The following is a 27,951-nucleotide window of genomic DNA, read 5'->3' as shown; positions in this document are numbered from 1 at the left end:
CATTAGACTACCCCCGGAAACGGGGTCCCGGGCCCGCCGCGTTCCGCTGCCCGCGCTCCTCCTCTGCCGCGGGCTCTGTAGCTGAGTGGTGGCTGGGTATGGAGGCGAAGGCGGCACCCAAGCCAGCTGCAAGCGGCGCGTGCTCGGTGTCGGCAGAGGAGACCGAAAAGTGGATGGAGGAGGCGATGCACATGGTGAGGAGCCCGGGAGGTAGATGCTGCGGGGTGGGACCTTTCTCCAGCCCTCAACCCGACCCCGGCATTTGAGCAAACGTTCTTTCTCGTCACCATAATTTTTATGGCAGTCAGATGTTCTGGGTGAACAACTGGCTTTACTGCCTCGAAACTTTCTGTAGCCCATTCTCACAGTGGCTCTGGGCGAAGGAAGGGGAGGAAATACACAAATTATTTGTTTCATTGCGGTGGAGTATGCTGCAGACTTAACATTCTGTCGCCGGCTGGCACGTGCTGCCTCCCTTTCCTTTCTGTGGTCACACACTCTCCAATCTACAAAGTCACATTATTTGAGGTTTTGGCCCTTGGAACATGTCCAGCAGAAGGAAGGAAACTGAGAACGTTTCTGGTAGAGAGCAGTATGGAAACAAGTCCCTGTACAATCGGCGTCTCGCATTCATTCATTATTTCCTCTGCCCTTTTACTTCCTTCCCTCACTCCCTTCAGGACTGCGAAATAAAGGGGGCTTTCAACAGAATGCTGTGTGCTAGCGAGCTTCTTAACTGGGAAAAAAAGTTTGTTTGTAAATATATGTATTTACATTTTAATAACTACATACAGCCACGTGCCACACAATGACCTGTCGGTAAAGGTCGTTATCCTGGAGCATTAAATCTACTCACCTTAGCCCTATTGTCCCATCCAAGTACTAACCAGGCCTGACCCTGCTTAGCTTCCGAGATCGGGGGACATTCAGGGTGGTATGGAGGTAGACAACCCTAGTTTCTATGTAGACTTCTGGGCTAAACACTTTCGCTACCTTTTAGGTTGACCCTGGGCTAGCACATGTAAATACATTTACATACGTTTACAAACAAACTTTTATCCCAGTTAAGAAGCTCGCTAGCACTTTTCAGCTCCATTATAATCTTATAGGACCACATATACAGCGGTGGTGCTATAGGATTATAATGAAGCTGAAAAGTTCCTGTTGCCCAGTGACATGTAGCCCTCCTAACAAGTACTTTTTTTCCTTTAAGACCTTGAAGAAACTTGTATATGCTAAAACCCAAGAAGCAGCTGCCTCCTTAATCCTGTGTAGGAGGACGTAAACTATGGAATCACATCCCTAGGTGTTTATAATACAATTAAGAGACAAAAAATGTCAAAGCCAGAGAGGTCTAGAAATTCTTTGAAAACATCTACATGTTTAAAAAGATACAAAGTAGCATGGCCAGATGCAGTGGCTCATGCCTGTAATCCCAAAACTTTGGAAGGCAGAAGCAAGAGGATCTCTTGATCTCAAAAGTTGAAGAACAGCCTGGGCAACTTAGCCAGACCCCGTCACTACTAAATAAAAATTTAAAAATTAGTAGGGCATGGTGGCATGTGCCTGTAGTCCCAACTACTCAGGAGGCTGAGGAAGGTGGATTGCTTGAGCCTTGGGAGATTGAGGTCGCAGTGAGCCGTGTCTGTGCCACTGTACTCCAACCTGGGAGACAGAGCCAGACCCTGTCTCAAAAAAGAAAAAGATACAAAGTAAAGGAAATACAAAGAAGGAAAATATTTGCGACATATATAAAAGGACAGGTTTAATAACCGTAGCATATAATTTATATAAAATCTAAGTACTTTCCGACGTAAAAGGAAAGATGTATACCCTAATACTGAAAAAGGTCAAAGGCTATGAATATATTTCTTTTTAAAATTTCTTTTTATTTTTAGAAGATTTTTTTTTGGTTTAGACAGGGTCTCTCTGTGTTGCCCGAGCTGGTCTTGAACTCCTGGGCCCGGGCAGTTGTCCCACCTCAGCCTCCCAAAGTGCTGGGATTACAGGTGTGAGTTACCACACCTCACCTGAACATGATATTTCTAAAAGAAGTGACGAGTGAGTAGCCAGCAAATAAATGAATACACAATTTCACTATTAATGAAATTCAAATTAAAATGATACACAATTTTTTACCTGTTAAATTGGCAAAAGTGAAAGCAATTTTAATGCTTGGTGATAATAAGGGTGTGCATGTTTGAGGTGTTTGTTGGTTGGGAGGAGCTGAATTTAGAAAACCCTTTTTTTTTGTATGTAACATGTATATTACAGTTTTTATTTAATATGCTGATAAAGTTAACTCTAGTTAAGCCAAAGTTGAAAGTTTTAAGTTTAATTTACTTTTTTTAAATTATTATACTTTAAGTTCTAGGGTACATGTGCACAATGTGCAGGTTTGTTACATATGTATACATGTGCCATGTTGGTGTGCTGCACCCATTAACTCGTCATTTACATTAGGTATATCTCCTAATGCTATCCCTCCCCTCTCCCCCCAACCCCATGACAGGCCCCGGTGTGTGATGTTCCCCACCCTGTGTCCAAGTGTTCTCATTGTTCAATTCCCATCTATGAGTGAGAACATGCGGTGTTTGGTTTTCTGTCCTTGTGATAGTTTGCTCAGAATGATGGTTAACAGCTTCATCCATGTCCCTACAAATGAAAAGGATGAACTCATCCTTTTTTATGGCTGCATAGTATTCCATGGTGTATATGAGCCACATTTGCTTAATCCAGTCTATAATTGATGGACATTTGGGTTGAGTTCCAAGTCTTTGCTATTGTGAATAGTGCCTCAATAAACATTCTTGTGCATGTGTCTTTATAGCAGCATGATTTATAATCCTTTGGGTATATGCTCAGTAATGGGATGGCTGGGTCAAATGGCATTTCTAGTTTTAGATCCTTGAGGAATCGCCACACTGTCTTCCACAATGGTTGAACTAGTTTACAGTCCCACCAACAGTGTAAAAGCGTAGAACACCCTTTTATTAGGACAATTTGGCTAGGCAGATATAAAAGGCCTTAAAAGTGAGCTTATCCTTTGATCCAGTAATGCCCTTTTTTTTTTTCCCAAAGTGAAAATATTTTAATGTTTTCTTTTTCTGGTTATGTAAATAATTCATGGTCATAAAAAATTCAAACTATAAAAAAGGGTTAACAAATTATGTAAAAATTACCTAAAAGTCCTACTATTAGAGATAATACTATTAGTATTTTGGGAGCATCCTTCCATATCTCTCTGTCCATATGTAAACAGCCATATGTACTTTTGCATAAATGGAATTATATGTTCTCTTTTTGATTATCAGCAGTTTTTTTTGGTAGTCTTAATATATTAGTCACTCCTCCCTACCTCATGGTATTTCTGTTGCTATGGAGTGACTACCTAAAATGGGACAAAGGATGTATGTGCTTTGAAATTATATAGATATTCCTGTATTGCCTTCTAAAACCATAATGCCTAATATCGTAGCCACTAACCACATGTGTCTATTTAAGTTTAAATTAATTAAGGTGAAATAAAATAAAATCTAGCTCCTCAGTTGTATTAGCCACATTTCAAGTAGTCAGCACCCACATATAACCACTGGCTACCGTATTGGACAGTACAGATCAAAGGACATTTCCATCACTACAAAAGGATCTGTTGGATAGCATATAAGGTTATCAACTTTACTGCTTTTTAATAAAACCATTATTTTTCATGGCAGGTTTCTTTCTGAGAGCTAAGCATAGCATCATCATAGGTTATCATTTTAATCATCATAACATGTTCAGCATAACATTCTAAAGATAGGCTTGGAAAAAAGAAGTATGACTAAGTAATAGTGTTGCACTCTTGGTGTGTTCCAGATACTATGCTATGCACAGTGTTTTCATGTGGGCCATGTTATAAGCCCCACAGAAGCCCTATCAGGTGAGTATTATTATGGTCCTCATTTTCAGATGGGATATTGAAGCTGAGAAAGTTCAGTAACTTCCCCAAAGTTAGAGAGCTGGGAAGGATGGGGCTGTGATTTGAGGCCTGTCATCTGCTGTTAAATACTGGCCTGGCCTGCCTCTCGGTGTTAGGTAGCTCACTGCTTGCCAACATATCCTCTGCTCTCTTTCTTCCTTTTCAGTTTCTTTACCTGAATACTGTGTATCTACTGTGTAATTTAATTGAACATTTAGATTTTTTTCTTCTGTGAATTGCCGAGGCATATACTTTCCCCAATTTTGTAATAGTTTGATTTAAAAAATCGCACTGTAGGAGCTCTTTGTATTTTACAGCTGTTTCTAGGAATAAATCACAAAGAAGCAATATAAATATTTATATAGAGAAGTTCTTTACTTGTTTATAATAGTGAAGAATTTGAATCACTTAAATGTCAAATAATAGGAGACTAGTTGGTTGAATCAGATATGTTCATAAGGAGAAATACTGTACAACCTTTACAAAATCATGTGATGAAAAAATATTACCCAATATAGGGAAAGGTTAACAATACATTTCTAAATGAAAAGGGCAGACTGCTGAACTGTATATACAGTGTAAATCTATTTGACTTTTTAAAAACTGTAAATATGTGTATGCAGGGCATAGGAAAAAACAGAAAAAACCCCCGTTGCTTCAGAATAACAGGGATTATATTTTGGGGTATTGGGATTCTTAGTGGGTTTTTTTTTTTTGATACATGAGGTTTTTTTTTTTTAATCGCTAAGTTCTCCACCTTGAACACATCTTACTTTATAATTAGGAAAAAAGAAAGATTGACTAACTATCTATACATATGTGTATAGAAAAAATGTTGCAAGTTTTCTAGAAAAAAGTCAATTGTATTTTTTTATAGTGTGCATTTTTGGGGCAATTGATATTAATATAACATTATGCTAGGCTCTGAGGGAAATTCGAAAAGAAAGCAAACACCACAGACACCATTTCAACAAATGTGGTATGATTAAGTTTTTGCTATGTGTTAGACCTTGTGCTGGGTGCATAGGCTGCAGAGGTGAGCAAGAGAAGCTTCGTAGTGCCTGGATCTAGTGCTTGCCTTCCAGGAACATACTGTTTAATTGATGAAATTAAGTCAGGCACAGATGAAAAGGTTGGTAAGTAACATGTCCAAAGACCACAAGAGACAGATATAAAGTGCTGTCAGATAACAGCTGGCAAGGTCCTTCAACACGTCCGTTGAGATAAATGATAGAATTCCTTCTAAATTTTAAGGGACCAAAAGGATGTGGGCTGGTGGAAAGGAAAGGTTGATCCAAGCAAAGATACTGTCATGTCCAAAGAAATCAAGAACTTTGTTTTGGGTTAGAAGGAGATCTATCTATCTATCTAGAACAGGGCTCCCTGACCTCAGGCTCAGGTTTAGGGGGATCTATGAACGCTGAAACTATATATAAAATATTATGTGCGTGTGCCTTTTTCAAGTGAGACAGTCCATAACTTTCATCAGTGTCTAAAAGGGGATTTCTGCTCTGAAAAGGTTAATAACCTAAATGAATAATGAAAAGTTAGGTTGGTTCGGTTGGCCAATGGGAGGGTGGGTGATAGTTGGGAGACCTTCAGTGCCATATTGAAGAATTTAAAGTTGATGGAATAAAAACATTATCACTTTTTAAATCCCCAAAGTTAAACTATATAACTGTTTCTGCTAATTACTCAGAGAGTAATCACTCAGAAGAGAGTAATTAGCAGAAACAGTTATATAGTTTAGCCTTTTGGACAGGATGATGTTCTACCTGAGAGTTCTGGCTAACTTGTTTGTTCCCCCTAATTTTTTGTCTTTATAGGAAATATTTCTTTAAGGACTCATCAAACTGTGTGCAAACAAGGTCTGTTTCCATCTCTCCCCCTTTTATCATGACATCACTAGAAAGCAGTTTATAGTAGTAATGTCTTTGGAGAAAATAATAAACTACGAAGTCTCTTCCATCTAGGTGCTTTCATTATCTGTATCTGGGCAGGCCCTGACTAGAGAAAAAAAAGAAATTATATTCAAGGACAAAATAGAGACCAGTGTTTGGGCTGGGAAGAACAGAGATTTTATTCTTTAATTTTGAAGGTTGATCATTTGTTACTTTATGAAAAACCTTGTAGCCATTTTTAAATAGTATCTGATCTTGGTCTTTCCCCCTAAAAAAGGCAAGAAAGGTTAAATTCAAAGCTACCTGCACAAATTTCAGACCCATTTTGCCTGAGCTTTTTTGCATTTGTGAAGAAGTGATCAGACTTGACAGTAGAGTTGTTGGGAGAGTTTGAAAGTATGATATGGGTATGGGGTGAAATTGATTTCCAGCTTAATTAAATCTATTGTGAACTTGTTAGTGAAGCAAATCTACATGTTAATTGTTGTAAAGGAGTTCCCCTCAACTCACTTCCATGGGGCTTTGTGTTATTCTCACCGCCCCCTCCCCTGCCTACCATTCCAGTTGCTTACCCACTCATCCTCAGCATGGCAGGCTCGGCCATTCCTCAACAATGACGTTATTTGTCCTTTTAAAATATTCCGATCGCTCATATTTGCTCTCTGTTTCGGACAGCAGTGGAAGGCATTTCAGGAAAAAAAACTGTGTTACTCAAAATAAACATGAAGATAATATTGAGAGGAGTGAAATGAAATAAATTTGCTAGACGGAAAAAGAGAAAAATCCAAAGGAAGGAATGGAAGGCACAAACCCAGTAACATGGTGGCGTGGGTGCTATCTCCAGGTGAACAAGACAGAACTTGCAGGCAACATGGAATCTCATCTCCCATCCCACTCACGTCCTTTCCACTCGGCCCTGCATTCTCTTCTGCAGGTTTGAGATGGCCCACATAGCCAATGTAGAGCTCTTCAGGAGATATTTTTACAGAAAATCCTGATCACATGGCCTCCATTTGTTTATTCTCTTGCCGTTTTTGTTTTTTTTTTTAACTTTTTTTTTTTTTAAGACAGAGTTTCACTTTGTCGCCCAGGCTGGAATGCAATGGCACAATCTGGGCTCACTGCAACCTCCGCCTCCTGGGTTCAAGCGATTCTCATGCCTCAGCCTCCCAAGTAGCTAGGATTACAGGCACCCATCACCATGCCCAGCTAATTTTTGTATTTTTAGTAGAGATGGGGTTTCACAATATTGGCCAGGCTGGTCTCAAACTCCTGACCTAAGATGATCCACCTGCCTTGGCCTCCTAAAGTGCTGGGATTACAGGCATGGGCCACTGTGCTCAGCCTATTTTTTACTTTTTTTAGAGATGGGGTCTTGCTGTGTTACCCAGGCTGGAGTGTAGTGGCATGATCATAGCTCACTACAGCCTTGAACTCCTCTTGCCATTTTTTTTATCCTTAAAATTTCCATGTCTCACTCTCTTGCCAACTGTTCTCTCTCATTTGGTCCCTTGATTCACTCTAAACTCAAACCCTGATAAAGCAGCTGATCGGTGAAGTGTCTGTTGTTACTAAAGTAGAAGTTAGAGGCAGAACAGTGGCAGAGAGCCCTGGAATCTGGCCCTTGGTAGGTGCTCCACAAATGTTTGTTGAACAAATGAATAAGTGGAGCCAGGTTGTCTATGCCCTAGTCCCAGCTCTCTCACATGCGCTAGTGAGAGATATATACATGTATAAAAAAAAATCTCCCTGTGCCTCAGTTTCCTCATCTGTAAAATGGGGAAGATCATTATAGGCTTGTAAATGAAATGAATTAATACTTATAAAATGCTTAAATTAGTCCTGGATCAAAGTAAGCTTTCAATAAATTGTAAGCTCTTATGTTCAAGCTCTCAGAACCAGAATACTCGAGATGCAGACAAAACATTACCTCTCTTAAGAGGTTTGTTGGGGAAAGTATAGCTGGAGTTAAAAATTTAACCTCTTAGATAAGTCACTGTTCAAGCTACTGGTTTTCATCTCCACCATTCCACCTAAATTGCCACCACCTTGCTGAATTAGACACACTTGACCACCCTTCCTTCTTGGCCTAGTGTTTTTCTGGGATTGTCCGTAACACCAAATATTTCTCTAAACTCACTAAACATCTCTTTTTAATTCCCATTGCAAAATCCTTTTTGTTTACCTGTACTTATTTTTTAACTTTCATTTTGAAATAATTATAAGTTCACAAGAAATTACAATAATAATATACTGGGAGGACCCAAGTGTCTAGTGTCCTTCAGTGGTAACATCTTGCATAGCTATAGTTCAGTATCAAAACCAGGAAAAATGCATTGGGAAAACTGCAGAGCTTATTAAGATGTCATCAGTTTTATTTGTACGTGTGTGTGTGTGTGTGTGTGTGTGTGTGTGTGTATGCGTGCCTATGCAATTTTGTCATGTTTAGCTTTGTATAACCACCACTGGAACTGTTTCACTACCACATGGCTCCCTTGTGCTACCTCTTTATAGCTGCAGCTTCTAATCTGTTCTCTGTCTATAATTTTATAATTCAAAAATGCTATGTACATGAATCTGTAACCATTTGGCTTGGCTTTCTCCATTCAGCATGATTCCCATGAGATCCATCCAAGTTGTTGAGATTATCGATAGTTCATTCCTTGTTATTGCTGCATTGTGTCCCATGGTACAGGTGTACCATAGTTTGTTTAGCAGTTCACCCACTGAAGGGCATTTGAGTTGTTTCCAGTTTTTGGCTATTACAAATAAAGCTGTTATGAATATTTGTGCACACAGACATACATTGTGTGAGCATAGGTTTTCATTTCTCTGGGATAAATGCCCAAGAGTGGAATTGTTGGGTCATAAGTTAAATGCATGTTTAGCTTTTTAAGAAACTGCCAAACTATTTTCCAGTGTGGCTGTACCATTTTATATTCCGACCAGCAGTATATGAGTAATATCACTTCTCCACAGCCTTGCCAGCATTTGATGTTGTTTTTACGTTTCACTTTAGTCATGCTGATGGGTGTGTAGTGATACCTCATTGTGGTTTTAGTTGACATTTCTCTACCGGCTAATGATGTGAAAACATCTTTTCGTGTACTTATTTGCTATGTGTGTTATCTTCTTTGGTGAAATGTCTGTCTTTTGCCTTCTCATATAGTTTGGATATTTGTCGCCTCCAAATTTCATGTTGAAATTGAATCCCTGGTATTAGTAGCAGGGCCTGGTGGGAAGTTTGGATCATGGGGAGGATACCTCATAAATCATTTTTATAGTGGCAAGTTCTCACTATATTATTATCATGAGAATATACCATCCCCTCCTTTCTTTCTTCTTCTCTTACCATGTGATGCCTGCTCCCATTGCCTTCTGCCATGAGTGGAAGCTTCCTGAGGCCCTCACTGGAAGCAGATGCTGATACCATACTTCTTGTACAGTCTGGAGAACTGTGAGCCAAATCAACTTCTTCTCTTTATAAACTACCCAGCCTCAGGTATTCCTTTATCGCAGCACAAATAGATGAAAACAGTCTTTTTCTAATGGGATTATTATTTTATTGTGGAGTTTTAAGAGTCCTTTATATAGTCTAGATACTAGAGTGTTGCCAGAGATGTGGTTTGTAAGTTTTTTCCTATTTTAGCATGTTTTTCTTCCTCTTTGCTGCATGTATTAGTTTCCTATGGCTGCTGTAACAAATTATCACAAACATGGTGGCTAAAAACAACACAAGTTTATTCTCTTATAGTTCTGGAGGCCAGAAGTCTGAAATTTTAGTGAGCCCCAATCAAAGTTTTGGCAGGGCCGAATAACTTCTGGAAGCCTGCCTTTTCCAGGTACTGAAGTGACATTTATGACCCATCCCTCCATCTTCAAAGCCAGCAGTGCAGCATTTTCAAATCTCTCTCTCTCTCCTTCCGTTATCACTTCGCCTCTTGCCTTCTGTGGGTGCCTTCAGGACCCACCTGAATTTGGGATAATCTCTCCATCTCAAGATCCTCAACAAATATTTTTTGCATGAATAAATGATTTGTCTCTTCTGTGTACCTTGATCTCTGTGTAATTCTACACTTACCTTAAATAAAATTCTTAGTATAATAATTGCCATAGCTACACTGGTAGTTAGCATTTCCATTCTCCTTAACTGTCCGTCTTCTTCCTGGCTTTCTTCTCTATAGTAGCCTATGGTGCATTTGTCTATATTAACCAAACCTCGGGACTCTTCAAGCCTTTTGAACTTGCATAAACTGGACATGCTTTAACCACTGTCACAGAACTGGGACACAACCGGCCTGTGGATAGTTCATAAAATAGTCCTGAATGCAGTCTTACTGCATCAGATACTGTCTTCTCACATCTCTCCATGCCCCATCTCTGACCCACCAACCAGATGGAGAAAAGAGAGGCCCAGTTTGCTCCTGCTGTGGGCGTCTCCTTTTTCCTCTAATGGCCAAATGAAGAATAAGTGTCCGTTGAACATGGTGGGAATAACTGAGGAAATCCTGTATGCCTTATAATAGGAAGTTGTCACTAGTTAAATAAAGTAGAACTGGGAGTAAGAGACTGGTGCAGGAGACAGAAGACACTGTTTTAACAATGCCTTCAACTTTGCACTTTATATGCCCTATGATGTGTGTAAGTACCTGCACTTAAGTGAGAATCAAGTCTTCCAAAGTCTCTTCAGGGCTGCCACAGTAAGGAATACCTTGCCTTTCTGGAAACAGCTGTACAGCAGTTATATTCTTTTGACTGCATTGAGATGGGAATGAATGTACACTAGTCCAAGGGTTGTACTCTTCCCTTATTCTGACTCTCAGAGGCAGTATCAGGTTATACTGAGGCATAACCTGCCTGCTTAAGCTCTCCGCCTGAAGGTAGAGTTAATTTTCCTAGGGCCCAGAGCTGCTATCATGGGACAAGAAGAAAAACGAATGGCCTGTGATAAAGGGAACTTTGAGAATATAATAATTGGTTTGCCATTCCTGGGATGGTAGTCATGGAAGTGTTCCTAAACTTGTTTTTCTCATTGATTTTTTTCAGTTGAGGTATACTTTATATACAGTGAGATGCACAGGTTGTAAATGTATCCTTCAATCTGTTTTGAATAATGCAAACATCTCTGTAATCCATGTCTTTATCAAGATCCAGAAAGTTTTCACCACCTCAGAAAATTTTTTTGTGTACCTCCCCAATCAATCTGCACATCCTCCTCCATGAAGCAACCACTGTTCCAGTTTCTGTCATTGTAGTTTAGTTTTATCTATTCTGGTACTTTGTGCAAAAGGAATCATATAGTATGTGTGCTTTTGTGTGTGACTTCCTTTACTTAGCATGTCTATGAGGCTCATCCATGTTGTCACAGTATCAGTAGTTCCTTTTTATTGCCGACTAGTATTCCATTATATGAATAGGACACAGTTTGTTTATCCATTTTCTTGTTGATGGCCACCTGTGCAGTTTCAGGTTTTGGCTATTAACATTCTTTTTCAAGGTTTTGGTTCTTTTTCAAACTTTCTTTCTTCTTCTTTTTTTTTTTTTTTTTGTAGACACATATTCCCTTCTTTTAAATACTTAGGAGTGGAATTTTGTTATAGACTGTGTGTGTGTTTACTTTTTAAAGAAATTTCCAAAACGTTTTTCATAATGATTGTGCCATTTTACATAGAGTACTTCTAAACTCTTATTGTCTCACATAGAGTAGAAATTGTGGGACAGGGTGACATCCAGTCTGGTTACCTTTAGCTATTGGGACTCTAGAGGATAATTTCTATAATTTTTAGAGAAGCAAAGGAATTTCAGTGAGGAAAGGATTGTAATAAAGGATCTATAAGTGTTATTTAGTCCCCTACCTTTTTGCAAATATGTATTCTATCTCTGAAAAGACACATAGACCCTGGCACTTCAAGAACAGTGGTCAGTCACAGTCTCCTTTGATCACGTCTATTTCCAATGAGAAGACATCAGGGGCTCTGGACCTATCAAGGGGATTTTTTTTGAGTCTCCCTTAACATGGACACAACACAGAACACGGGCACTAAATACCGTAATGGAACTATATTCCAGAAAAGGGAAGGCTGCACTTCTTTGTTTCAGTCTTTGTACATGTGTATCTTGTTCATGCTGCATCTCTTTCTCTCCTATACTCTCTTCAAGTATGGAGTATTACGTCTTACATTTTCCACTTTGTGTTTCAGGCCAAAGAAGCCCTCGAAAATACTGAAGTTCCTGTTGGCTGTCTTATGGTCTACAACAATGAAGTTGTAGGGAAGGGGAGAAATGAAGTTAACCAAACCAAAAATGTATGTGAGTTGAGCAGTATAATTGCAAACATACAGTAGTGATGGGTGGACTGGAGAGAATTTACCACAGTTGGTGTGAAGGTGAGACTGAATATAGTCCCGTAGCTGCCAGTGGTGGGTAGCTTTTCTTAACGTCTCTCTTTTTCAGTATCATTTTCTTCCTGATTTTGAAAGTGATACATGTTGATTTTTTTTATTGTGGAAAATTCAGAACAATTTAATGAAGCCATAAAATCTTAGTGAATAATTTTCTGTTTCATAGAGTTTTACTCTAATGCTTGAGTGAAACCCAAGAGGGGATTTTATTTCATCAGAATGTCAGCATGGAAGAAACAAGTCTGTCTCTACTTTAAGCCAATCTAATATATGAAATTTTCATTTTATAAAATAGGTCAATTTAACTCATAATACATTCCTTTTTTAGTACCTTTAAATAATATTTTCATCCTAGTAAGTTAAAAAAGTATCCTCAATGTATAGCTTTGGAGGGAGGTATGAGGATTATATAAAGGAAGCTATTCCTTTATCAGATAATTCAACAAAATAGGGTCTTCAACACCAGCTGCCTCTGTAGCTACATGTAGCATGTACATTTTAATAGCTTGTATGACTTTTATTGTGGTTAGGTTGGGAAGTTCATGGTTCAAGGCAATGCTTCTTAAACATGGTATCACAATAGTGTGTCATGATAAGTATACTTGGGAAGTATAAGTAAACTACCAAATTTTATGATTACAAAAATTCCTAGGTGGACTCAAAGATCACTTATACCTGTAATGCCATTCACACAGACTTTTATCTTGTCATATGATTTTGGGAGCCAGAGAATAAGCTGGTGTTGATACCAGGGCTGTGGGAACTAGTTCATCTATCAATCACATCTATTGAAAAGAAAACTGATATTTAGCAAAACACATGTAAAATAGGAATCCAGATTCACAAATCATTTATTTACTTATTTATTTTTAGCCATAAAATAGAACAGGATTATATTTTAATACGTAACTTCTGTACAACCAAAAAAATAAAACACCACAGTAAAATAAACTGGAATAAACATGGTATTTCATTTGCAATGCTTGACAAAATGTTCACATCCTTAATCAGAAATGAGTTCTTAGAAATCAGTAACAGAGAGACTAATATTACAAGGGAAGTGAAAATAAAAGGAACAGAGGAAAATGAAATAACAACCAATAAGGCTACATGAAGATGATCTAACTTAACTTTAACAGAAGAAAAAAGCAATTTCTTTGTAACATTAGATTATCAGTGATTAAAAATACTGATATCTAATGTTTGAACAGTTTTAGGGAATGGGAAACGTTCAAACACTGGGAAAGCTTACATTGATTATAGGAAATTTACTCAAAATGTAGATTTTGCATATACTTCGCCCTAGCAGTTCCAATCAATAGGAACTGTTCCGACAAAGTAGTTGGACAATTCAGATTTATATATAACCATGTTCACTGCATAGAAAATCTGTAGTTAATATGTCAGCCCCCCAAAAAAACTTTTTTATCAATTTGCTTATGAAAAATAGTAGATCGAAGTGTAGAATTAGAAAGAAAAAAGACACTTAAATAAAAATATAGTATTTCACAAAATTCTTTGTCCTTTGAATTCTTGAAAAAGACAACTTTTTAATGAATCAGTTTTAAATTTACCCTGTAATAAGTGAGAAGCATGAATATATGTAAGTCATACTTTTAATTTTTATTTATTTATTTATTTTTTTTACTATGGAAATGCTTTAATAGAGGTGAACACACAGCAAGAACAGCAAGTGCCCACACAGACATGACTATCACAGAACACATTGTGGGCAAATGAAGAATTCATACCACCCCCGCCCTTAACCCAGTAACAGAAGGCTCTACGCCCCCATTTCCTCAGTCCACTCCTCAGACTCTCCCTCCTCCTCAACAGTGGCATCCTGATACTGTTGGTACTCTGATACCAGGTCATTCATGTTGCTCTCGGCCCCAGTGAATTCCATCTCATTCTTGCCCTCGCCCATGTACCAGTGCAGGAAGGCCTTGCACCTGAACATGGCTGTGAACTGCTCTGAGACGTCTCTGAGCAGCTCCTGGATGGCCGTGTTGTTACTGATGAAAGTGGTGGACGTTTTTAGTCCTGCGGATGGGATGTCCCAGAAAGCTGTTTTCCCATTGTAGGGGATCCAGTCAGCAAAGTAGCTGCTGTTCTTGGTTTGGACATGAAGCATTTTCTCCTCTACCTCCCTCATGGACATCCAGCCCCTGAAAATGGCAGCCTCTGTTAGATAGAGGCCATACTGGGGGTCATAGGCAGCCATCATGTTCTTAGCATCAGACATCTGCTGGGGGAGTTCAGCCACTGTCAGGGCCTTCTTTGTTGTTTAAATGCTCATTTTGAAATACCTTTTTAAAATTTCAAATACAGAAAGTAGAAGCAGTTCTATCTCATTTCTCTATGCAGAACTATTAAAATTTTGCCATATTCTTCCAGACAGTTTTCTTTCATATAAATCATGTAACAATATACAAATATATACAGTCTTTTAATTTTAACTCACATGTGCAATAATTTCAAACAATGTTAAAATAATTACCATTATAACACTGAGAAGTATTATAACTGCCAGGGTAGTCATTCCCATATAGAATTAACATTTTTAAATTAGCCGTTACCTTTTCAGTTAGAAAAAAACAGAAGCATGTACACATACCTCTGCAAACAATTAGCTGATGTTTGTTGAAAAATGACATAATTTTAAATATCAATTTAAAATACTGTAAAACATACAAAAATTCTTTTTGAAAAAGATGTTTTGAAGAATTTTTAAAAATGTTTTAATTACATTCATGTTGAATCACAAAGCAGTTATTAAGAGGATATTAAAACATGAGATAAGTAATAAACATAATACAGCAATTAATGAATGTATAGATACTTATTTAGGAGTAGAATTCTGTATTTTAAATCGTGGTCAAATTTTCCAATTTGCATTTTGTGTATGATGTCTTAAGATGAGAACTTTGACTGTCCTAACAATACCCATCTAACCCCATCCAGTGACCGGGGTTTCTTCTATATGCTGAAATTAACCTGGGTTTATTTTGTTATTCCGTGTCATAAAGAAGATTACTCTATAACTACAGCATAGAAAGACTCTTGACCCCAAATGAGAAGACCTGAGTTCTACTTTTGGATCTGATACCACCACCACTACCCAGTCGCCACCACCACCTCCTCTCCCAGCTGTATGTGATTAACACATGCCAGCTTTGCTTAGCTTCTTTTTCTTTAGTAGTAAGAGAGTTGACTGAGATGATTGAGTTCAGCAATTGTTTATTGAGAGCTGTAGGGAGATTTGATTCCATAATTCTAAATCTGATTTTTTGAAAGCACCTAAGTTGGGGAAACCTTTTTTTTTTTTTTTTTTTTAAACTCTCCACTTAGTTTTGGTGTGCAGCCAGGTTTGGGAACCTCTTCTGTAAAGTACCTTCCATCTCTGGTAATTAGTTCTGTGATTCACCCATGTAGCCCCTTGGCCAGCTCTGCTCCCATCTGCCTCTAGCTTCCATGGCATCTTGGGCCACTGTGCTAGCACTTTTCATACCCTGCCCTATCTCACAGGTAAATGAGCCCTACCAGATTTTATGCTTGTTGAGGACAGAGACTTTTTATCCTACACAGAATTTATTTAGCCCAGTGGCTTGTGCATGGTTAATACTCAGTGTAAATTATTGATAAATACTATTGTCATGAATATTATAAATAATTATTCCATATAGAATCTATGATTCACTTTAAGCTATTTTAGTAAGGGAGAAAGAAAAGGAGACAAGAGCTAGCAGAGTACATGTGTAGTATTATGTGGCACCATGCTTCATGTAATTCAGATTTATAAGGTTTATAAGTGTAGATACCAGTGTATACCATTTTACATATGGGGAATCCTAGACTTACAGAAGTTAAGTTACTTGCGTAAGTCCACATAATTGGTAATGTCACTGTCAAAATTCAAATTTAAATGGAGTCACTTCCACATGCTATGTGATTTCTCCTATCCTCTACTGCTTCCCATGAAGTGTCTGAAACCAATACCAAATCTCTACTTCTCTAGAGTCTTCCAGTATATAAAACCTCATTCCCCAAAAGTGTAAGAGATGACATTCCAGTGAACTTAATGTAGATTTGCTTGGAGTGAGGTCAGTGACAGCCTTGAAAATATATTTGAAACTAGAGCACAAGCTTATGAAAATTTTGCTTCCCCTGAAATATTCAGAAACCATAGACTTTATCTTTTTTTCTTTGTTTTTTAGACTTACCTTCTCCATGGCATTTTAATTGAAAGAGTTTTCCCTAAGGTACTTAGGTACTTAACTAAAAATACAGCATGATTCCTGTGGCATCTCTGATTAGATATCTTTCGCAAGTGAGGTTATGGTACTTGAATTGGGGAATACGTTGTCCACTGCTAAGGGTGTCTTGAAACTGTATTCATTAAAATATTGGCAGAAAGGATAGGCGCATATTTTGTACTTAGTTTTTGTATATTTGTAAAATAGTAGTCACATGAAGCAAACAGCATCAGTGCAAGCCCCTTTCTCTTTTCAGGCTACTCGACATGCAGAAATGGTGGCCATCGATCAGGTCCTCGATTGGTGTCGTCAAAGTGGCAAGAGTCCCTCTGAAGTATTTGAACACACTGTGTTGTATGTCACTGTGGAGCCGTGCATTATGTGTGCAGCTGCTCTCCGCCTGATGAGTATCCTTTGACTTCATGAGTTAATGTATCGTACCATTCGTGTGAACAAGAGAGTGGCCAAACACGTAGCCTGTTTTCCAAAATATGAAAACACAGACTTAGGAAACACCTTGTAAAATATAGTGTGTCTTAGCCAAAAAAAAGAAAAGCTTTTTAAATAGTAAAATGACCTATTTCTTTTCATATCAATAAACATGGAATGATTAAACAAATAATCTAGAGAAAGAAAATATTAGAACTGTCTTAAACAGTTATATAAAGGTAAATCATAAATTAAGTTGAAGTGGATTATAAAACAGTTTGCAAAGGAAAAGTCCTAAAGAATATGCAGCTAAGTTTTGCCTTTGGATAATGGATTATGAGTGGTTTAAATTTTTTTTTCTCTGTTTATCTGGTTGGTTTGTTTGCCATGAATACTAATGTATCAAACATTATCAGTAAAAAGTAAATAAGAAGTAAGAAATCCTTTATGATATTCTGATTGTAAATGGAAAATGAGTAAAGTTACAGCTCTTTGGATTGTCTTGCATGGATTAAGCAACTTAAATAGTGCAGAGACTCTGTAGGGACTTCTAAAGATCTTTTTAAAAAATTATTTGAAAATTGAAAAACTCAGCTTTTTAGTTCCTTATTTTTTATGTACTTATTTTACTATGTACGGATGGATAATTTTAACACTTTAAAAATAATACAGAGGTTTTTGGGTATGATAAAATGTACAGTCTCTATAAAAGGGTTGTTATAGGCAACTTAGAATTCTCTCCTCATCCTGCCTTACAGAGTGGCTAAGCTTTAGTCTATTTTGTATTAGGGCACAGGTTATATTTTATTTGGGGCAAGAACAGGGAAGAATCTTTTATTTCTAAAAGGTGAAAATCCCTGGATTAAATTTCTGCATCCTTTCTGGTTCTGACTCCCTAATGATTCTGAAAAAGTGATTTAGGAAAGAGCAGAGAGAGCCCTGAACTGTGAACTTTAAGCAAACACATACTCAGTTTTCATTCTGTTTGCAGTTGTTAAATGTCAATTTCTCAATACTTTAACCCCTTTTCTTCTGTGTAGCTGGATTGTATGGTTTATAAGACGAATCCTAAGCTTCACTGGTTTGAAGAGTAGCATGAGCGTTCCTCTCCAGGATGGCTGGTATAAACCTACTCTGATTTTGTCACGATACATACTTGAAATGTACATTCTATGCAGGACCTTAATTCTGTCTTATAAATCCCGCTGGTTGTATATGGCTGTCAGAATGAACGATTTGGTGGTTGTGGCTCTGTTCTAAATATTGCCTCTGCTGACCTACCAAACACTGGGAGACCATTTCAGGTAATACAAACTGCTTATGCTTTTTCTTTCTTGCTAATTATTTTCATCTCTTTATGGGCTTGTGAATAACTAGTGTGTGGCCAGTATACGAAGAAACGATGATAGAATCAGACATCTTTGATCTCAGGGCCTCTGGTGGAGTTCATTTATGCCTCAGTATAAGATGACAGGGAAGAGTTTCTAGATGAGTGCCTACCTCTCTTCATTAACAGACTCCCTCCTGAAGGAGAGTCCACCCTTCGCAGCTGACTCCGAACACTCTTCACCAACACCGTTAGGTATGCCTGAAGACACTCTCGCTGTTGGAGTTTTTATTCAATGAACGTTACCAGCTCTATGCTCTACCAAGTTTGGTGATGCTTGGCCTGTGTCAGTGACGCTAGAGACTATTTACAGCACACACAATATTTTTGTACAAATTTAATCATTTTGCTTGATTGCCACATCCTTATTTTAGTATCTAGCAATCACTGTATTTTCATGTCTTTTTTTGTGTGTCTTTTTAATGTTGAAATTTCCCCCAGACTTAAGAATCCATGTCTTTAGTCTCCTAGAAATTCTCCTTTCCGTTTAATCTTGCCACTTCTCCCAAAGTTTTTATGGGTCAGACTATGAACAAAAGGAATTTGTATTTCAGAGTTTGGCCTGTGACTATACCCCTACTTTCATTAATTGGTTTGATTGTTTTTCTCTCCAAGATGTAAGGTTAATGTAAAAGTATTGTGCTTTAAAAAGAAAAAGCTTTAACAGATGCTGGATATGGCTGGGCAGTTCACTTCAAAAACCTCAGGGGTTCCTAGAATACTTTAAGGACCTATGAAGGACTAAATTTGGCTGAGTCTCACTGAGAACGAGTTTTTAAAACGTTCTTGAGTTTTCTAGCTCAACATTAGCTTTCCTATCAACTTCTGTGCATTTGAGAATAAATGCTGTTTAACATTACATCAGAAAAGAAATTGTAATGCAATGATGGAGAGTAAAGGATACAATTGGTTTGATCATTAAAGACATTTAGAAAGTGATTTGATTTTTCCAATCACTTCTGTTAGTAGCTCAAATTTTGCTTACATAACTCTTTGCAAATGAATTGCTGACTCCATATTTCCTTTATGAGAATGATCTAAATAATTTTTCAGTTTCTGGGCAGAACAAAGATGAGTCTTTTGATGTCATACATGGGTGGAATATTTCTCTCCAACATGTCAGTGACATGAGGGCACAAACACAGTCCTTTCTCACACATCTTTGTAGTCGATGCAGCAGAACCAAAACAAGTTCATTTGCAGTGTATATACCTAGCCACATCGGCTCAGCTGCAAATCAATGCCTGTGGCTTGCAGCCATATCTCCAGGCTGAATGCCAAATTATGGTTTTTTTAAAGGTGCTTTTAGATTCTAAGGAGAACAGTGGTGGCCCAGGCTCTGAATGCTGGGTATTCTTTTTTTTTAATTCGTCTGGGCTTAGGAGGCAGCAGGTGATTGGGAGGTGGGATACTGTTTCTTACTGCAGAATTGCAGATTCTTTTCATGCTGTATTATAAGCAGCATTAAAATTTCTAGAGGCCTACAGAACTATTCTTTTCAAAGAAGATGGTGATTAATTATAACACCTGCTCTGTTTTTTAAAATTTTTGTTTTATGGCTGGGTGCAGTGGCTCATGCCTGTAATCCCAGCACTTTGGGAGGCCAAGGCGGGCAGATCATGAGGTCAGGAGATCGAGACCATCCTGGCTAACATGGTGAAACCCCGTCTCTACTAAAAATACAAAAAATTAGCCGGGCATGGTGGCGGGCGCCTGTGATCCCAGCTACTTGGGAGGCCGAGGCAGGAGAATGGCCTGAACCCGGGAGGCAGAGCTCGCAGTGAGTGAGCCGAGATTGCGCCACTGCACTCCAGCCTGGGCGACAGAGTGAGACTGTCTCAAAAAAAAAAATTATTATGAATGTTTGCTTTTTATTAACACCACAAATTTGTTGCTATAATGGATACTTGAAAATGTAAATAATATATTATATTGGTGTGTTAGGGCGGTGCAGTTTCCTTCGAGGCCTGTAACTCAGCAGTTCTCATCCCGGACTGCCCGTTAGAATCACCTGGAGGCTTCTGTGCCTGACTCTGCTCAGTCCCTGCCCCAGACCATCTGAATCAGAAGGCAGGGGGCCAACAGTGCTGTGTTTCCAGAGAGTTCCAACTGGTTCTCCTGAGCAGCAATGGTTGAGAACCACTGCTCTCATCCCACGTAAGAGGAGAGGGCTCTGAGTGTGCGAGTGGAGTGGAGGGGGACCTCTGGGGAGCTCCAGCACTTAACACAGCAGGAAGCAGGGGGCAGCTGTGACGGGACTGGCTGGCAGTGGTTAGGATGGTAAAATGCTGAGAAGCCAAGGGAGGCAAGAGCGGTCAGACAGAGCAGGTGTGGCCAGTTGCCTCCAGGACTGCAGAGTTGAGGAATCTGAAAGGAGGCAAGTGTTTTGGTCAGTAGGGACCTGGGGATTTCTGAGAGGGCAGACTCAGTGAAGTGCTGGGAACTCAAGCCAGTGAAGATGAGGCCACTGAGGAGTGAAGGCAGGAGCAGGGTGTCAGCCTTTGACGGGACAGGGTGGATGGAAGGTTATTTGTTATGGCGAAGGTTTATGCAGGTGTCGGAGGCCCAGGCAAGGGCAGACTGAAGACACAGGAGAATGGGAGGTTCGTTCTGAACAGCATCTCACAGTAGCTGGTCCTCCTGTCCTCTGTGCCTATGCTTTCTGGCTCCTTCCTTCCAGATGCTCATTGTGTCACTTCATGCACTTCAGAAGGGTGCTTGGTTTTAAGTCCAAACTCTTCTGACAAGCTTTCAAAGCCGTACATATTTTTACCCCAATTTTTTGTCTTTCTTTCCTTATGCTTCCTTAATAGTCTCCTCCTCTGTCAGCTGATTTCCTCACACACAACCCAGGCTTCTTCTTGCCCTTTCCCTGAAATGCTCTGCTTAGCCTCTTTAAATATTCTCTATCTCTAAGGCAAGTTCAAGTTTCATGTTCTTCAGGTAATATTTCATATAACACTCCTTACTGTTAGCACAATTTCTTATTTATTCTTTCACATGTTATGATTTCTTTTCCCCAGTTAGATGCTAAAGATAGAACAAGCTGTATTTTATTTTTTAAAATCCTCTGTAGCAAGGGTTGATAAACTTTTTCTGCAAAGGGTTAACTAGTAAATATTTCACCCTTTGTGAGCCGCTTACATCTCTGTCACCTAGTCTTTTTTTTTCTTTAACAAAGCTTTTAAGATATAAAAACCATTCTTAGCTCACAGTTCTCAGCTATGGAACAGATTTGGTCCACCAAGTATAATTTGCCAACCCTAGCTCTATAGCATGGAATGCTTAATGGACCACTAGTAAATAGGAGCAGATAAAAATAACTAATGCTTAATGAGCACTTATGATGTGCCTGGTATTTAACAGGTATTATCTCACTTAATCCTCACAAAATCCCCTGAAGTAAGTGCTATTATTGCCAGCATTGTATAAATAAGGCATGGAGAGTTTAAGTGCCTAACCCAAGATCACAAAGCTGGTAACTTCTATAATAGTTAATGGATGAATAACAGTTGATTGGGAGTGATGCCTAATAACAGTTGATTGGGAGTAATGAAAAAGATGATATATCAAACATCTTTTGGAAGTGTACCTCCTTACCCATGTTACTAATATCCCCAAAGTTTATTAACATCTGAAATCTGTTTACATAATCATGTATATATATGTTGTTTTTATGGGATACAGCACACATTTTCATAGGCCTATGTTTATTCTCAACTTTCTCATTCCATCAGTGTATCCCTGGATATCGGGCTGAGGAAGCAGTGGAAATGTTAAAGACCTTCTACAAACAAGAAAATCCAAATGGTCAGTTTTCTGTTGTGGATAATGTCCTTCCCTTAAATCCATACAAAGAGAATCTGCTATGAGCTTACCTCTTCATTTTCTTTTTCTTTTCTATTCTTTTCACAGCACCAAAATCGAAAGTTCGGAAAAAGGAATGTCAGAAATCTTGAACATGTTCTGATGAAAGAACCAAGTGACCCAAAGTGACCTGGACAAGATTCATAGACTGAAAGCTGTTGACATCGTTGAATCATATGTTTATATATTGTTTTTAATCTGCAGGAAAATGGTGTCTCTCATCATTTGCTCTGTTAAGGGAACAAATTAGCACTTTTTAGAAGTCTGACAATTGTAAACAGTTATTAGCTTTTCCAGAAGCTGATTCCCATTTTAAGATGGGGGAAAATTAAGGTTTGAGGTTTTAGAAATTAGCAAGTAGTGCATACCCTTCTAGCCACAAGTGCCCAGTCCAGGCAAGTGCTGACTTCTTAGAGAATGTGTGGCCAGACCCAGGGACCTGGAGTGTGTTTGGACTGCAGTTTGCCACCCTGAGAACACCTTCTCCAGGACTGGCATTTCAGAATCAGATTCTTCATTTTTTGCAGCTACGATGTTCTTCCAGGGCACTGGGGGCTGTGACTTCTCTCTAAATTGTATATAAGTTGTGTATATAGAGACCATAATTATATGGTCCTTAGAAAAGACTTTGCTTTTATAAAGCATTTAGAAAAAATGCATACTTTTAAAACAAGTGCTTGAGTTGTCACTTAAAAATTATAGCATATTGCTATAATAAAACCTTATTTATGTCTTATTTGAAGATGAATAGTCTTAAAAGATAAAGACATAAATGGGACAATTGTTATTGAGCAAAAAACCAAATTATCCCACCCTCATGGAGCTTATATTCTAGCAAGGGGAGATGGATATGATAGATTACACAGTTTATTGGAGGACAATAAGAGTTATGGCAAAAAGCAAAAGGAACACAGGGTAAAGGGGATAGGTGCCATTTGGTGGTGAGAATGCTGACTGAAAAATAGAATGATCAATTTAATCTGAAACAAATGGTTATTTCTTTTATAATCCATATAATAAATTTAAAATCTAAAATGTAAAATTTTGAACACAACACTGGAAAGGGTATCCACAGCAGGAAGTCCCCAGTTCACCTCCATGACTACAGGGCAGCTTTGCACAGCCCTCTGGGCGCACTGTGTGCCTCTGCCCAGAAGGGGGCCTCGCCGTTCCACCAGAAGCTCAGCTCCAGGCCCTGGAGGGGCTGCTGCTCCTCAGTTGCATTTCTTCAGTAGATTCATTTCCTTGATGCAAAGCATCTGTATTTGTTGGTTCTGTCATTTGAGCGATGTCTCTGACTTGTTTGTTTTGAATTACATTACAGGCTGGAATGTAATTGTGGTGAAAGTATTTTTATATTGCTGAGAGTAGCAGCTAATCACAGTTACATGCTTCAGAGGACTTATAATTGCTTGGTTTTGTGTGTGTGTGTGTGTGTGTGTGTGTGTGTGTGTGTGTTTAACTGCATTTGAAAAGTTTTATGGAGAATATGCATGATTTTAAATCTGTGATAATGTTACATGCACCTTCAATTTCATCCACTTTAAAAATTATCTTCTCATTGAATTTTAGTGCTTCTACTAGTTTGTTCCTTTTTGCAGTTGGTCGTAATTCATTTCTGGCTTCTTATGCTTTCCTGCAAGCAGATTTCATTGCATTTATTGTGTTCATATCATTTTCTTGGGGATTATTTGTAGGACAACCAACCTGGAGTTTTGCCTCTCTAGAGTACCACCCAGTAAGTCTGGCTGAGCATCTTATGTCCAGTAGGTTCTTGGTAAACATTTGCTAAATGAAATTACTGATTGAAATTTGGGGAAAAGTGAATAAGAAGACTATCTAGGACAAAAAGCCAAAGCCGAAAATAGTATATGAGCATTCTAGCCCAGAGACTGTCGCTACTAAAAGAATGAAGGAAATAATAAAGTGATAGACAGGGAAGGATAGAAAAGACTTAACAATATACATATGTTCCGTCTTTGCTGTTTTGGAGAATGATGGATAAGTAGTGTTTCCTGATTCTGAAGCATAGCTGAACAATTTAATTGTGGTTTACCATCTTTTTGGTTCCCTCTTCAGTAATTAACCTATCGAAAATCTGTCCTAAATGTTTGGACTGGGGCACAGTTCCCTCCATCGCTTTGGGAGAAAATCATTAATATGGCATACTGCAGATTGGAGGGCAGGACCACTGAGGGTGTCATAGACATTAGCTCTATGGAATTCTGCTAGCAATTTCCAAGTGACAGTGAGGAATTATGGATATATGTTGAGGTCATTCAGCTTCCTGAGTACCACATTCCCCAGCTACTTAGACACGGGTTAAAATATTAAGATGTCCTAGTTCAACAGCTTGAATTCCATTGATTGATACTGATAGTGCCTGTCCAAGACACCAGCTGAAAGACTTGTTTTGTGTACAAAATAGTTCTGAAAGTGGTGAGATACAAAAAGGTTTTAGAATCACTGCCCTGTTGAGAGAAATTAGGGGGAAATGATTACATTTAGAAGCTGCTAGAGTTATCCAGTGTTTGCTGGTCTTTGCAACAAACTGTGGAGAATGGGTGGTATGTAATGCTTTGGTAGGCTTCAATCACTGATAAAAGATCATGTTAAAATATCTTTGTGCTTTCTTGTTACTTGGCACAACCATCTCTTCCTGTGTTGTATTTGGAGTATCATGGAGAGAAAATAGATGGCCAAGAGCTTCAGTGTAGGCAAGAACTCTTAATTTTTCTTTAAACTTTTTACTGGGAAAAGTATATATATATAAAATACACACACACACACACACACACACACACACACACACACACACACAAACACAACACACCATGGCCCTTTACCCCGAAATGCTTCAGTATAGTTATTGACTTAAGTAAATTTAACATTGATATACTTGAATCTATCATTTGTATTACAGTTTTGTCAGCTGACCCAATAATGTCCTGTAAAGAAGTTCTCCCACTACCCTATAATCCCAGGTCCAGTCTAGGGTCCAGCATTACATTTACTTGTCTTGAATCCAGCTTTTTCTTTTTTTTTTTTTTTTTTGAGATAGGTCTCACTCTGTCGTCCAGTGGCATGATCACAGCTCACTGCAGCCTCAACCTGGCTCAAGCAATCCTTCCTCCTCAGCCTCCTGAGTAGCTGGGACCACAGACTCATGTCACCACACCTAATTTTTTTTTTTTTTTTTTTTTGTAGAGACAAGGTCTCACTATGTTGCCCAGGCTGGTCTTGAACTCCTAGGCTGAAGCAATCCTCCTTCCTTGGCCTCCCAAAGCACTGGGATTATAGACGTGAGCCACTGCACCGGTCTGCCTTTAGCTTCTTTTAGTCTAGAACATTTTCACTGGCTTTCTTTGTCTTTTATGACATTGACATTTTTAAATAATACAGTCATTTTGCCTCCTTTCTGTTTTCTTCTTCTTTTTTTAAATAATAGAATGGTCCTTGTTTTAAATTTATTTGATATTTTCTTGTGATTAGATTCAGGTGCTGGTTGATGTTAAGTTCCTCACAGGATATCACATCTGGAGGCACACAAAGGCCGTCACACCAAGGTGATGTCAATTTTGGTCATCTGGTCAAGGTGTTGTCCTATTCCTTCACTATATAGTTACCTTTTTTCTCTGTTGCAATGAATAAGCAGTCTGTGGGAAGAGGAGCTGTTACATTTTAAACAGAAAATGTATTTGACACTGATGGAAAGGAGAGGAGGAAAATTAATGACATAAATTTCAAAGCAACTATTAAATTATTTGATTGCATTCTTCCTCTTTTACTGTCTGCCAAAATTGATAAAAAAAATTTTTCTAATAAGAATGTTTTAAATAGTGATATCTTAATAAGCATCAAAATTAAGCCTGAGAAATAAATTCTTTCCTTCCTAATTTCCTCCTCAGCAAAAGTAATAATTATATAAATTTCATTATGCCTGATAAGATAGGGTTTTGGAAAATAGACCTAAGATGTTTCTGATACTGCAGATGACCTATGGTGATCCAATGGGATAAACACTCTAGGTAGGTTGTCATTTGGTCATAAAATATGAGTTATCTTGGGTTTCCATAGAGACATCTAGACTTAAAATGTTGTAAGCACTGCTACTTTCAAAATGTCAGTAAAAATAGCAAAAGCCAAAGCTCTTGAAAAAATTACTTAAATCTTTTTTAAAAGTAGTATAGCGCCTTGTTAAAAATCTGTGGTGATGCCAAAGCTTGTCTTTCCCAGTGGTCCTACGTGAACTGGCCTTATAGCCCCAGGGAAACCAGACACCAGGAATTGGTTTCTCTGCCTTTTGGCAAAGGAATAAGACTACATTGACTTCATCTATGAAGACAACTGCCAACTATTTCCTTTGTAAATTGCTAATTTTGTGTAGTGAGGAAAGGAGCGATGGGCGACGTGATTTTTATGGATTAGACTGGTGAGTTCTGCTGAAAGTTTGACATCTTTAGGATCTTACATTTTCTTCAAGTTGAGCTAATGAAAACAGGCTCGTGACTATTTATCACCTGATTTCTAAGTGGATATTGGGTTGAACACCACATATCCATGACTATTAAGGAGGCTTCATGGTGTAGTTTGACAAAGGCTCTCTCCTTGACCAAACTTCAGTCAGGCCCTAAGTCCTCTTTTTAACCAGGCCTCCACCTTGGCCCCCATTCTTGATGGGCCTATACAGCCCAGCTTTAGCAAGAATCCTGCTAAGCTAGTTTAGAGAGAATCCCACATCCCCAATATCTATGAAATTTCTCATCCCCTACTTTTGATGTGTAAGTCCTTGGCCTCCCTTCAACGAGAAGCCTGTTAAGTTCATTTTGCAAGAACTCTACTCTTGATATCTCCTCTTAGTAATTTCCTAATCACTGACCCCCTCACTCTGCCCATTAGTTATAAACCCCCACATGTTCTGGTTGTATTCAGAGCTGAGCCTGATCTCTTCCTCTTGTTGGGATAGTTTTAAAACCTGCGATAGTTTTAAAACCTATCACTGTAGTCCTGAATTAAGTCTTCCTTACCTTAACAAGTGTCAAAATAAATTTTTCTTTAACATGTTGAAGCATGAACTTGAGAATCTAGAGCAGGAGTCCACAAAGTATGGCCCATGGGCCATATCCAGCCCGCTGCCGGTTTCGGTACCACTCATGACTTAAAAATGGGTCTTACAATTCTGAGTGATTGAAAAAAAATCAAAAGAAGGATAATATTTAGTGACCCATGAACCTTATATGGCAATCAAATTTCAGTGTCCATAAATAAAGTTACATTGGATGACAGCCATGCCCATTTGTTTCTGTGTTGTCTGTGGCTGCTCGTGTGCTACAATGGCAGAGTTGAGCAGTGGTGACAAACCATGCGACTCACAAAGGCCTAAAATATTTAGCGTCTGGCCCTTCGAGAAAATGTTAGCTGCCCCTGGTCTAGAGTAGGTAAAAGGCTGAGATTGGAAGCTGCTTGTTCAAATTCTGTGATTGGAACCGAATGATGTGGCTCATTGTACAGCTCATGGTGAATTGCTTCAGTACCATGGTTTTGTTTTTTCCTTTTGAAAAGTTGGTCTATAAATGTAAAGGAAAAATCTAAGATACCAAAATATGTTTTCTGGCTTAGAATGTTTTATTTCCTTGTATACATTTTAAGAGAGTGGCAAGGAGAAAAGATAATGTATCATTTTATTTGGGTTTAGAATAAATAATACATTTTATTTATGATCATCATGTTTAAAATATTATTTTCTGTT

General features: G+C 38.4%; 1 protein-coding gene and 2 pseudogenes across 8 annotated transcripts, besides 5 other annotated features; 1 reads left to right on the top strand and 2 right to left on the bottom strand.

Annotated features, from left to right (window-relative positions):
- Window positions 62-27,925, top strand: ADAT2 (adenosine deaminase tRNA specific 2). 8 transcript variants are annotated; one of them, XM_011535439.3, is made up of 9 exons: window positions 62-194; window positions 3,859-3,922; window positions 5,788-5,829; window positions 9,309-9,319; window positions 12,063-12,167; window positions 16,776-16,926; window positions 18,146-18,252; window positions 22,073-22,145; window positions 22,251-27,925. In XM_011535439.3, the coding sequence occupies exons 1-9, from the start codon at window positions 99-101 to the stop codon at window positions 22,292-22,294; spliced, it is 693 nt and encodes a 230-aa protein (XP_011533741.1). In that variant the 5' UTR covers window positions 62-98; the 3' UTR covers window positions 22,295-27,925. The 8 variants fall into 8 exon arrangements, with proteins under 8 accessions (XP_011533741.1, XP_047274145.1, NP_872309.2 ...); XM_017010260.3 differs by lacking the exon at window positions 62-194 and adding an exon at window positions 9,617-9,704 and having other exon boundaries at window positions 3,866-3,922; window positions 5,788-9,319; XM_047418189.1 differs by lacking the exons at window positions 3,859-3,922; window positions 9,309-9,319.
- Window positions 74-1,056: an enhancer, noted in NCBI's record as "H3K27ac hESC enhancer chr6:143770838-143771820 (GRCh37/hg19 assembly coordinates)". NCBI's record gives its function as "activates a minimal SCP1, AML or CMV promoter by ChIP-STARR-seq in primed H9 embryonic stem cells {active_cell/tissue: H9 hESC(primed)}" and the evidence as "EXISTENCE:reporter gene assay evidence [ECO:0000049][PMID:30033119]".
- Window positions 112-271: an enhancer, noted in NCBI's record as "active region_25199". NCBI's record gives its function as "activates an Ori minimal core promoter by ATAC-STARR-seq in GM12878 lymphoblastoid cells {active_cell/tissue: GM12878}" and the evidence as "EXISTENCE:reporter gene assay evidence [ECO:0000049][PMID:35858748]".
- Window positions 812-891: a silencer, noted in NCBI's record as "silent region_17626". NCBI's record gives its function as "represses an Ori minimal core promoter by ATAC-STARR-seq in GM12878 lymphoblastoid cells {active_cell/tissue: GM12878}" and the evidence as "EXISTENCE:reporter gene assay evidence [ECO:0000049][PMID:35858748]".
- RNA5SP221 (RNA, 5S ribosomal pseudogene 221) lies at window positions 846-948 on the bottom strand (annotated as a pseudogene).
- Window positions 952-1,031: a silencer, noted in NCBI's record as "silent region_17625". NCBI's record gives its function as "represses an Ori minimal core promoter by ATAC-STARR-seq in GM12878 lymphoblastoid cells {active_cell/tissue: GM12878}" and the evidence as "EXISTENCE:reporter gene assay evidence [ECO:0000049][PMID:35858748]".
- Window positions 14,047-14,541, bottom strand: TUBB8P2 (tubulin beta 8 class VIII pseudogene 2; annotated as a pseudogene).
- Window positions 23,219-23,288: an enhancer, noted in NCBI's record as "active region_25198". NCBI's record gives its function as "activates an Ori minimal core promoter by ATAC-STARR-seq in GM12878 lymphoblastoid cells {active_cell/tissue: GM12878}" and the evidence as "EXISTENCE:reporter gene assay evidence [ECO:0000049][PMID:35858748]".
- Window positions 27,926-27,951: the final 26 nt, after the last annotated feature.

This window comes from Homo sapiens, chromosome 6 (genome assembly GCF_000001405.40).
Source record: "Homo sapiens chromosome 6, GRCh38.p14 Primary Assembly".
NCBI lineage: Eukaryota > Metazoa > Chordata > Mammalia > Primates > Hominidae > Homo > Homo sapiens.
The sequence above is the reverse complement of the archived record's forward strand: the minus strand, read 5'-3'. Positions and strand labels throughout refer to the sequence as shown.